At 46.1% G+C, this 12,452-nt stretch overlaps 2 pseudogenes, besides 1 other annotated feature; both read left to right on the top strand.

Moving 5' to 3' along the window:
* Positions 5,931 to 6,035, top strand: RNU6-347P (RNA, U6 small nuclear 347, pseudogene; annotated as a pseudogene).
* RNU7-6P (RNA, U7 small nuclear 6 pseudogene) lies at positions 8,609 to 8,670 on the top strand (annotated as a pseudogene).
* Positions 10,932 to 11,108: a silencer, noted in NCBI's record as "fragment chr20:50523831-50524007 (GRCh37/hg19 assembly coordinates)". NCBI's record gives its function as "represses an EF-1alpha promoter that drives an FKBP-Casp9 reporter gene in an ReSE screen in K562 erythroleukemia cells {active_cell/tissue: K562}" and the evidence as "EXISTENCE:reporter gene assay evidence [ECO:0000049][PMID:32094911]".

Consider the following 12,452-nt stretch of genomic DNA (forward strand, 5'->3'; position numbering starts at 1 on the left):
CGCCCAGCTCTAATTTTTTACTTTCTCCAGTGGTTTCAAAACCAAACCTCCAGTTCAAATGCAACTTTAAAAATTATACTGCTACAACTTATGGATATTAAAATTACCCAAAGCTACAAACTATTTTCCTTTCTTTTACCCTATATTGACATATAATCAGACATACTGACCAATGAGAACATCTTCCTTCAGTCTCAGGTCCTGAAGAACAAAGGTTCTATTTTAACAACTGAAAATTTGAATCGAGTTTTGTAGTTTTTTTTTTTTTTTTGAGACGGAGTCTTGCTCTGTCACCCAGGCTGGACTGCAGTGGCGCGATCTCCACACTCACTGCAAGCTCCGCCTCCCGGGTTCACGCCATTCTCCTGCCTCAGCCTCCCGAGTAGCTGGGACTACAGGCGCCTGCCACCACGCCCGGCTAATTTTTTGTATTTTTAGTAGAGACGGGGTTTCACCGTGTTAGCCAGGATGGTCTTGATCTCCTGACCTCGTGATCCGCCCGCCTCGGCCTCCCAAAGTGCTGGGATTACAGGCGTGAGCCACCGCGCCCAGCTGAGTTTGTAGCTTTTTACTGAGTATTTTCAATTCTGGGACTTCATTCTGGAGAGTCATGTCATAAGCAAGCCAATTTTTCTACGTGAGGATGTGTTTTGCAGCTTTGCTTGCAACTGTGAAAATTGGAAATAAACTCAATGTCCATCCGTAGGGAAGTGATTAATTATATTGTATATCCACATGGAAAAGTGAGGGACTAATTTAAAAAAAAAAAAAAAAAAAAAGAATGGCCAGGCATGGTGGCTCATGCCTCTAATCCCAGCACTTTGGGAGGCCGAGGCGGGTGGATGACCTGAGGTCAGGAGTTCGAGACCAGCCTGGCCAACATGGTGAAACCCCATCTCCACTAAAAACACAAAAATTAGCCAGGTGGTGGTGCACACCTGTAATCCCAGCTACTTGGGAGGCTGAGGCAGGACAATCACTTGAACCCAGGAGGCAAAGGTTGCAGTGAGCTAAGATTGGGCCACTGCACTCCAGCCTGGGTGATGGAGTAAGACTCCAACTCAAAAAAAAAAAAAAAAAATGAGGCAGAAAGTTTATGTAATGACATAGAAAGTTATGTAGACCAGTGCTAGAAAGTGCTACCCAATAGAACTTTCTGCAATGATGGAATGTTCTATGCTGTGCTGTCCAATACAGTAGCCACTAGTCACATGTAGTACTTGAAACGTGGCAAGTGCAATGGAGAAACTGAGTGTGTAATGTAACTAAAGTAATTATTTATTTTATGTTATTCATTAATTTATTTTTAGAGACAGGGTCTTGCAATCTTGCCCAGGCTGGTCTTGAACTTCTGGCCTCGAGCAATTCTCCTTCCTCAGCCTCCCAAGAAGCTGGGATGTTAGGTGTGTGCCACTGCACCCCGCTATTTATTTGAATTTAAATTCCCACATGTGGCCTATGATATTGTACTGGACCTCACATATTTTAAATGTGTTTTGAGGACAGGCTAGTTGAAAAATGAAGAGTATGATTCCTCTAAAAGATAATAAATAATATATGTTAATTTAGAAATTTTTAGAAGTCAGACAGAAAATACACTGAACTAGTAATAGTGGGTTTCCCTGAGATATACTGAAGACTTTTTTTTTTTTTTTTTGAGATAGAGTCTCCTTTTGTTTCCGAGGCTAGAGTGCAGTGGCAGGATCTCGGCTCCCTGCAACCTCTGCCTCCTGGGGTCAAGTGATTCTCCTGCCTCTGCTTCCCGAGTAGCTGGGACTACAGGCGTGTGCCAGCACGCCCGGCCAATTTTTGTATTTTTAGTAGAGACAGGGTTTCACCATATTGGCCAGGCTGGTCTTGAACTCCTGACCTTGTGATCCACCCACCTCAGCCTCCCAAAGTGCTGGGATTATAGGTATGAGCCACTGTGCCTGGCCATGTTGAAGACTTTTAATACCATATATTCATACAGTATTTGAATTTTTAAATAAGGAACATAATTTGTTTTGAAATAAACACTACAAAATAAAGTCAAACTCTGAAATTCTAAATTGCTTCAAGTTAAATGAACCGAGAGCGTGGTTGGAGGAGAAACCTGAGAGAATCTTCTGGAAGAATTACCAGAATTTCATGTACTCTGAGGAAGATGCTGGGGCTGACAGGTTTGAAGCCACCAGGTGGGGTTAACAGGGTACCATAGGGGCTCTTAGGAGGTGGGTTTAGGAAACAATTTTCTTTTTTATTTTTTTTATGATGGAGTTTCACTCTTGTTGCCCAGGCTGGAGTGCAATGGTGCAATCTCAGCTCACCACAACCTCTGCGTCCTGGGTTCAAGTGATTCTCCTGCCTCTGCTTCCTGAGTAGCTGGGATTACAGGCATGTGCCACCATGCCTGGCTAATTTTGTATTTATAGTAGAGATGGGGTTTCTCCATGTTGGTCAGGCTGGTCTCGAACTCCTGACCTCAGGTGATCCGCCCACCTCAGCCGCCCAAAGTGCTGGGATTACAGGTGTGAGCCACCACGCCCAGCCTAGGAAACAATTTTCATAGAGACAAAGAGAGCTGAACTCTACTGCTCTGCTCCTCTGGTGGGTTGCAAATTCTAGTATAGTGTCTTCTTACTGTATCCCAGTGCTTAGCACAATGACTAGCACAGAATCACTGTGCAGTAGACAGGAATGAAAGCCTGACAAGATGCTTCAAAGCCTTCATTACTGGGAATTCAGCATCCAAGTTTAAACATGGTCTCTGTTGGTACCAAAGCGCACCCAGGTTTTAAGTATTTTAAAAGAGTGCCCAAAATATAATGGAAAGAGGCCGATACTTTCTTTTGCTAGGCCCTCCCTGCCAAGTCTAATAAACTGATAGATGTAAATTAGCATTGGGAGGATGGGCATTGTGGGGAAGGACAGAAATCTCTCTTTGCCTTCAGGAAGTTGCAATTAGGTAGATTGACATTGTGGGATAGAGGTAGGGGTGAGGATAACAGATTTTTTTTTTTTTTTTTTGAGATGGAGTCTTGTTCTGTCAAGCAGGCTGGAGTGCAGTGGCGTGATCTCGGCTCACTGCAGCCTCCGCCTCCTGGGTTCAAGTGATTCTCCTGCCTCAGCCTCCTGAGTAGCTGGGATTACAGGCAGTGCCACCACACCCAGCTAATTTTTGTTGTTGTTGTATTTTTAGTAGAGACAGGATTTCCCCAGGCTGGTCTCGAACTCCCGACCTCAAGTGATCCACCTGCCTTGGCCTCCCAAAGTGCTGGGATTACAGGTGTGAGCCACTGCACCCGGCCTGAGGATAACATAGATCTAAAGCCCCTTGATGTGGAGAGTTTTTTCTTAAACTTTAAAGGTAACGGTATTCTCCACACTAGCAGGGGCAGAGGAATTTCAGGGAGTGCTCTGATTAGTGTAGTGTGATTTCTTGTTCATCCCTGAACCATGAGGAAGGCAGTGTTGATGGTAGGGGCGTGGAATACAGGTCTCTGATTGGCTGAATTGGGTGGGTAGATGGGGCGTGTGCAGTAAGGCAACATGATTGACAGCTTCCCCATGCCCTAGTGGAGTCAGGAAGAAGTTCCCCAAAGGTAGTGGGATGGCTGATGGAGGAAAAATTTTGCCGGGAAGACGAGAGCAATGTGCCGCACAGCTCCAGGGGCCGCCATTCTCACAGAATCACACAGATATGTACATCCTTCTTCCTTGCTTAAAATTCCCAAACTGCACCTCAGCTGCCCAGTATTAATACAGTAAAACAGACTTACCCATCCCTATGGGAGTCACCTCAGCCTCAGAGGCACCCCTGTCTCCATCCCATTATCTCTGGATGACGTGGCTTCTGCTGATTTAGTCAGGATGTGGCTTCTCAGGAGCTAGTAGCCTGTGGCCAAAGGATACATTTATTTACCCCTAAATTATACACTCCTATTATATCCACAATTATGTACTCCACACAGTATATGGTGGTCCAGTGTATAAATATGGAGGCATAACCAGATAATTGGAATCTAATCATTCTACAAATATTAACTAGGGCCCCACCACGTGTTGGACCTTTGTTTTTATCTCTCTAGGTCTCAATTTCCTCATCTATGAAATGAACATAATGCCGTTTGAGGATTCAGAGGCAGTACACATCAAATGTTTAACACAAGTACCTGGCACCCAGCACACACTCAATAAATAATAGTTGTGCTGGGCATGGTGGATCACGCCTGTCATCCTATGGGAGGCCAAGGTGGGTGGATCACTTGAGCTCAGGGTCTCACTATGTTGTCCAGCCTAGGAGACTAGCCTGGGCAACATAGTGAGACACTGTCTCTACAAAAAGTACAAAACATTAGCCAAGTGTGGTGTCTGCCTGTATCCTAGCTACTTGGGAGGCTGAGATAGGAGGATTGCTTAAGCCGAGGAGCTTGAGGCTGCAGTGAGCTATGATCACACCACTGCACTCCAGCCTGAGCCACAGAGCAAGACTGTCTCAAAACAAAAACAAAAAACTAAAAAAAAACCCCCACAGCTGTTATTAGTGTTCCACCATGCCTGGTGACCCTCAATTATGTAGTTACTGAGTTTTTTGTTTTTATTTTTTTTGAGACAGTCTCTCTCTGTGATCCATGTTGGAGTGCCGTGGCACAATCTCGGCTCACTGCAACCTCTGCCTCCCGATTCAAGCAATTCTCCTGCCTCAGCCTCCTGAGTAGCTGGGATTACAGGCACGTGCCACCATGCCTGGCTAATTTTTATGTTTTTAGTAGAGACGGGGTTTCACCATGTTGGTCAGGCTGGTCTCAAACTCCTGACCTCGTGATCCACCTGCATCGGCCTCCCAAAGCGCTGGGATTACAGGCATGAGCCACAGCGCCCGGCCTGAGTTTTAAGTATGTTACATTATATGTAGGATGCCAAGAAAATAAGACATACTTCTTTCCCTTCCGGAAAAAGCAGGCCATTTGGGAAGGCAAGTCTCTCACTTGTATAGATCAGAGATAATCCCAAGAAGTGGGTGCCAAGGCACTCCTAGATAAGCTGCCCCTGCTCCTAGAAACCTGATTGGTTGCAGTGAAGGCCAGTTGGGAAAGCAACCCTATTGTATGCCCTCAGCTATGGAGTCCTCACAGTCACGGTCACAGGGTATTGCTTCATTAAGCTTCTCTGCTCTTCTTCTCCATGAATAGACTATCTCCCCATCAATCCAATTCTTTGTGTGTGTGTGTGTGTGTGTGTGTGTGTGTGTGTGTTTTTAAATGGAGTTTCCCTCTTGTTGCCCAGGCTGGAGTTCGGTGGCATGATCTCGGCTCACTGCAACCTTTGCCTCCCAGGTTCAAGTGATTCTCCTGCCTCTGCCTCCTGAGTAGCTGGAATTATAGGCGCCCGCCACTATGCCCAGCTAATTCTTTGTATTTTTATTAATTTTGAGATCAAGTCTCTCTGTCACCCAGGCTGGAGTGCAATGCCACGGTCTCAGCCCACTGCAACCTCCTCCTACTGGGTTCAAGCAATTCTCCTGCCTCAGCTTCCTGAGTAGCTGGGATTACAGGCGCCCACGACCGCGCCCAGATAATTTTTGTATTTTCAGTAGAGACAGGGTTTCACCATGTTGGCCAGGCTGGTCTCAAACTCCTGACCTTGTGATCCGCCCACGTCAGCCTCCCAAAGTGCTGAGATTACAGGCCTGAGCCACTGCGCCCAGCCTAATTTTTTGTATTTTTAGTAGAGACAGGATTTCATCATGTTGGCCAGGCTGGTCTCAAATTCCTGACCTCAGGTGATCTGCCTGCCTCAGCCTCCCAAAGTGCTGGGATTACAGGTGTGAGCCACCGTGCCTGGCCTCTCAATCCAATTCTTTGGATTCTCAGCAAACAGTTTGATTGTTTTCAAAATCTATCAGAGATGAATACATGGTAATTGACTCATTCAAAAATATATATTGACTGCTGGCTTCACCAGTACATATGCCAAAAACTGGAACGATACAGAGATTAGCATGGCCCCTGAGCAAGGGTGACTGGCAAATTCACAAAGCGTTTCATATGTGTATATATATTGAGCACCTACTATGTATTACACATGCCTATAAGCAAAAGGGAGGCAGGAGTGAGCAAGGCAGATATTGACTTTTTGGTTGTTTTTTTTTTCAAGATGGAGTCTTGTTCTGTCATCCAGGCTGGAGTGCAGTGGTATGACCCGGGCTCACTGCAACCTCTGCCTCTCAAGTTCAAATGATTCTTCTGTCTCAGCCTCCCAAGTAGATGGGATTACAGGCACGCACCACCACACCCGGCTAATTCTTGTATTCTTAGTAGAGACGGGGTTTCGCCATGTTGGCCTGGCTGGTCTTGAACTCCTGACCTCGTGGTTCGCCTGCCTCGGCCTCCCAAAGTGCTGGGATTACAGGTGTGAGCCACCGCACTCGGCCCCAGATATTGACATTTTGATGGGAAAGAAGGACAATAAACAGAAATAGATACACAATCTTTCAGGAAATGATAGAGCTCTAAAGAAAAAGAAAGCAAGGTAAGGGGGAGCACAGGGACTTAAAAATGTGTCTGCAAATTCCTTGACGCTCCTCCCTGCAGAGGATGAAGCTAGTTTCCTTCTCCTTGAGCATGGGCTGGTCTGCATGCCCACATCTAGTGAACAGAATACAGCCGAGTGATGTAATGTCGCTTCTGAGGGTCCGTTTTTGCCCAGCTCTCTTTCTGTCTCTTGGGATGCTTGCCCTTGGAATCCAGCCACCATGTTGAGGGAAGCCCAAGCCACAAGGAAGCCACATTAGAGGTTCTGAGTGAGTGACAGCCTCAGCTGCACTTGGGTGACAAAGAGCATGTGATCTGTCCTCAGCCTCTGACTCTTTTTTGTTTTTGTTTTTTTGAGGTGGAGTTTTGCTTTTTGCCCAGGCTGGAGTGCAATGGCACGACCTCAGCTCACTGCAACCTCCACCTCCCGGGTTCAAGCGATTCTCCTGACTCAGCCTCCCGAGTAGCTGGGATTACAGGGGCGCACCATTATGCCCCGCTAATTTTTGTATTTTTAGTAGAGACAGGGGTTTTGCCCTGTTGGCCAGGCTGGTCTCGAACTCCTGACCTCAGGTGATCCGCCTGCCCTGGCCTCCCAAAGTGGTGGGATTACAGGCGTGAGCCACCGCGCCCAGCCTAGCCTCTGACTCTTAACAGCTGTAGTCCCAATAATTGTGGACGGAGAAAGCTGTCTCCACTATGCCCTTTCTGAATTCCTGGCTCACAGAAGCCAGGTGAAATGATAAATCATGATTATTGTTTTAAGCCATTCATCTTGGGGATAATCTTTTACACAGTAAGGAATAGTTAATAAAGGGGAGAGGGCGGGGCATGGTGACTCACACCTGTAATCCCAGCACTTTGGGAGGCCAAGGCAGGCCGCTCCCTTGAGGTCAGGAGTTTGCGACCAGCCTGGCCCACATGGTGAAACCCTGTCTCTACTAAAAATACAAAAATTAGCTGGGCGTGGTGGTGGGTGCCTACAGTCCCAGCTACTTGGGAGGCTGAGCCAGGAGAGTCGCTTGAGCCCAACAGGCGGAGGCTGCGGTGAGCTGAGATCCCACCATTGTACTCCAGTGTGGGTGACAGAATGAAACTCTGTCTCAAAATAAATAAATAAATAAATAAATAAAAGATAAAGGGGCGAGAGACTGAGGTGGAAGGTGGTAGGAGAGTGAGTGCTAATTAAACAGGGTGGTCACGGCAGACCTTTTTGATGAGGGGATATCTGAGCAGAGACCTGGATGAAGCGGGGCAGCAAGTGACGTGGATACAGGGCAGAAGCTTTCAAGGGGAGAGAAGGGCCAGGGCAAAGGCTCTGGTGCAGGAATGCGCTTGTGGTTCAGTACAGGGGCCAGTATGGCTGGAGCAATATGGAAGAGAAACACAGTGGCAGGAAATAAGATCAAAAAAAGGGGTGAGGAGAAATTGCAGGCTATGTAGACCTTTGCAGGGAATTGAGCAGAGAATGCTGCAATATGATCTCAGCTGAAGTTAAGGCTACTTCGGCTGCTGTACAGAAAAATAGCAGTTAGTGAAAGCATGGAAGGAGGGAGAAGCCAGCTGGGAGGCTACGATGGTTGTCCAGGTGAGACATGGACGGTGGCCAGCACTAGTGAGGTGGAGGAAGTGAGAGGTAGTCAGAATATGGATATATTCAAGGTAATGCTGATTGGACTCACTTTTTGATAGAAGCAGGGTATCAGAGAAGCAGAGGCTGGCAGAGCGGATGAGCTCTAGGCGGGACTCAATGTGTGGACCATAGACCAGCAGCATCAGCAGCATCTGCATCACGTATGAGAAATGAAGACTCTCGGGCGCTGCCTCTACCTACTGAATTTTAGCAAGACTACCAGGTGTTCCCCATGCACATCAAACTTTGAGAAATGCTATTCTAGGTTGCTCTCAAGTCTGGCTGCAGATTTGAAACACCTGGCAAGCTTTTAAGACACGTACCAACGCTAGGTCTGGAGGTGGAGGGGCTGTTTGTTGGTATTCATATTTTTTAGCTCCTCAAGTGACCCTCATCTAATCCTTGGATCCCCATCCAGCCTTTCCACAAACTCTATGGGTTCTGACCTTAAAATATAGCCCAGTGTTACAGCTCTTTTAGAATTTGTCTAGCAGTCTTTCCAGTTTTTGCCGGAAAGCCCCTCTCACGCTTAAAATAATAATAATAATAAAATAAAATATATTTTAAGTCTCACGCCTGCAATCCCAGCACTTTGGGAGGCTGAGGCGGGCAGATCACTTGAGGTCAGGAGTTCGAGACCAGCCTGGCCAACGTGGTGAAACCCCATCTCTACTAAAAATACAAAAATTAGCAGGGTATGGTCGTGGGCACCTGTAGTCCCAGCTCCTCAGGAGGCTGAGGCAGGAGAATCGCTTGAACCTGGGAGGCGGAGGTTGCAGTGAGCTGAGATCGTACCACGGCATTCCAGCCTGGGTGACAGAGTGAGACTCTGACTCAAAAAAAAAAAAAAAAAGAGATGAGGTCTTGCTATGTTGACCAGGCTGGTCTCGAATTCCTAGCCTCAAGTGATTCTGCTGCCTCAGCCTCCTGAGTAGATGGGACTACAGTTGTGAGCCACAGTGCCTGGCTCCCACCCTCATTTATGTTATTTTTGGATTGAGTTTTCCTTTTGGTGTACAGTTTTTGTTTATTTGTTTGTTTTTTCTGAGACAGGGTCTCACTCTGCCACCCAGGCTGGAGTGCAATGGTGTGATCTCAGCTCATTGTAACCTCGGCTTACTGCAACCTCCGCCTCCTGGGTTCAAGTGATTCTCCTGCCTCAGCCTCCCAAGTAGCTGGGATTACAGGCATGCACCACCATGCCCAACTAATTTTGGTATTTTTTGGTAGAGACGGGGTTTCACCATTTTGGCCAAGCTGGTCTCAAACTCCTGGCCTCAAGTGATCCGCCCACCTCAGCCTCCCAGAGCCTGGGATTACAGGCGTGAGCTGACGTGTTTTAACTCATCTATCAATTTGTGTTACTATCAGGAGGCAGACCAGTTCCGGCACTCTGAAGAGCTGCCATGGGACACCCTTTTTATAACCACACCATCCTTCTACACCTAAGTGAAGATCTGGTGCTGGGATTACAAGGGCAGGATGAGTGAACTCAGGTGTGATGATTGAAGACTTATGGGCCAAGAGACCCAGCAGGTCAAGATAGAGACATTTTTCCAACCTCAATCTAGAACTCAATGAGGATAGCAAATACATTTCATCTGATTGTGCCCACTCCACCCAACTGCCTGGCAGGCTGGATTGTGAAGGACTCTAATGCATATCAGGGCTCAGCTGAAGAGTGTAATGGTTGATTAGTGATGCCTCTTGTGGACACAGGCCAATGGGAGGGGGTGCCTGTGCTGGAGAGTGTTGTTAGTGTCGGGGCTGATTGTCTACCAAGAGGGCGGGGAACGCCCTAGGGGAATGGGAGAGAAAGCCGAAATCAGACACCCATACATATTTTTTTTTTTTTGAGATGGAGTTTCGCTCTTGTTGCCCAGGGTGGAGTGCAGTGGTGCAATCTCGGCTCACTGCAACCTCTGCCTCCTGGGTTCAAGCGATTCTCCTGCCTCAGCCTCCCGAGTAGCTGGGATTAACAGGCACCCGCCACCACTAATTTTTGTATTTTTAGTAGAGATGGGGTTTCGCCATGTTGGCCAGGCTGGTCTTGAACTCCTGACCTCAGGTGATCTGCCCACCTCAGCCTCCCAAAGTGCTGGGATTACAGGTGTGAGCCACCACCCCTGGCCCAATATATATTGGATATTAGATCTGAGATACTCCATCTTTGGAATGTTTATACCATCTGTCTTCAGTTGTGCTCAGTAACAAGAATCATGACTTCCTTATAAATGCATAAAATCTCAGGGAGACAGAGAATTATGTCTGTGTGAGGATTTACAGTAGTGCTTAAAAATCCCAGATTGATTACAAGCTATCCCAGATGGCTTCAAACACAACAATACTGAAAGGAAGCAAGTTTATCATCAAAGAGAAAACTAGGAAGCAACTGTGGGAAATCACAGTTTGTCTAGATAAGAGAAGTCTACAAAGAGGCAGCAGGAGGCATTTGAACTGTTTTGTATTCTTATTGTAGTGGTGGTTACACAACTCTGAAAGTATGTTAAAACTCATAGAACGTACATACATATATAAAGTCAATAATTTAAAAATCTAAAATCTATTTAGCCATGAAATATGATGCTATAGAACTTGGTTTGCTGCTGGGCATAGTGGCTCATGCCTATAATCCCGGCACTTTGGGAGGCCGAGGTGAGTGGATCATGAGGTCAGGAGTTCAAGACCAGCCTGGCCAACATAGTGAAACCCTGTCTCTACTAAAAATACAAAAATTAGCCAGGTGTGGTGGCGCATGCCTGTAGTTCCAGCTACTCGAGAGGCTGAGGCAGGAGAATCTCTTGAACCTGGGAGGCGGAGGTTGTGGTGAGCCGAGATCATGCCACTGTACTCCAGCCTGGGCAACAGAGCCAAAAAAAAAAAAAAAAACATTAAAAAGTTGGTTTGCCAAAATGTGGTACACACAGAGCTGGTTGTACACAAGATGATATAAGACGAAACGTAGATGAACATTTGAATTGTGTAGTTATGTATTTGCATTAATTCATATTAGAAGAATGTCTAGTTTATCAAGCCTATAACTTCAAAAAGACAATTATATAAGGTTAGGCTAAGTAGAAATTTGAGTTGCTTTAAAGGAAAATATAAAGTAAATAATTATACAGGTTTTATGCATGTAGACAAGATTTTTGATCGGGGTATGGGAATAAAGTTATTTGTCTGAAAATCCTACCTTGACTGAGTGTGGTGGCTCATGCTTGTAATCCCAGAATTTGTGGGGGGCGGCCAAGACAGGAGGATTGCTTGACCCCAGGAATTTGAGGCCAGCCCTGGCAACACAGTGAGACCCTGTCTCTACAAAAAAAATAGAAAAATTATCCAGGCGTGGTGGCGTGTGCCTGTGGTCCCTGATACTCCAGAGGTTGTGGTAGGAGGATGGCTTCAACCCAGGAATTTGAGGCTGCAGTGAGCTACAACTGTGCTACTGCACTCCAGCTTGGGTGACAGAGTGAGACCCAATCTCAAAAAAAAAAAAAAAAAAAAAAAAAAGTCCTACTGTTATAGAGTTTATAATCTAGCAAGTGCAGAAAAACAGGGATATTAAAAGATTATGAAATAATTTTAAAAATCAGTTACCAACGCATAACACTGTGAATGTATTTAATGCCAGTAAACTGTACACTTTAAAATGGTTGAAATGCTAAAATTTATGTTATATATATTTTAATATGATAAAAACCCAATTTCCAAACATATATTAAAAATGATGCCATGCCCGGGTACAGTGGCTTACACCTGTAATCCCAGCACTTTGGGAGGCTGAGGCAGGTGGATCGCCTGAGGTCAGGAGTTCGAGACCAGCCTGATCAACATGGAGAAATTTTGTCTCTACTAAAAATACAAAAATTAGCTGGGTGTGGTGGTGCATGTCTGTAATCCCAGCTACACAGGAGGCTGAGGCAGGAGAATTGCTTGAACCCGGGAGGCGGAGGTTGCAGCCGTTGTACTTCAGATTGGGAAATCGTGCCATTGCACTCCAGACTGGGCAACAAGAGTGAAACTCAGACTCAAAAAAAAAAAAAAGATGCCATTTTTGTAAAAGACATGCACATGTCTTTCTTATGCATAGGAAATTGGAAGGATGGATAGCTACTTTTATACATAGGAAATTGGATAGAAAGATAATACTGGTGGCTGGGCGCAGTGGCTCATGCCTGTAATCCCAGCACTTTGGGAGGCCAAGGCAGGCAGATCATGAGGTCAGGAGATCCAGACCATCCTGGCTAACATGGTGAAACCCTGTCTCTACTAAAAAAATACAAAAAAATTAGCCAGGCGTGGTG

The sequence above is a fragment of the Homo sapiens genome, chromosome 20, assembly GCF_000001405.40.
Source record: "Homo sapiens chromosome 20, GRCh38.p14 Primary Assembly".
Classification (NCBI taxonomy): Eukaryota; Metazoa; Chordata; class Mammalia; order Primates; family Hominidae; genus Homo; species Homo sapiens.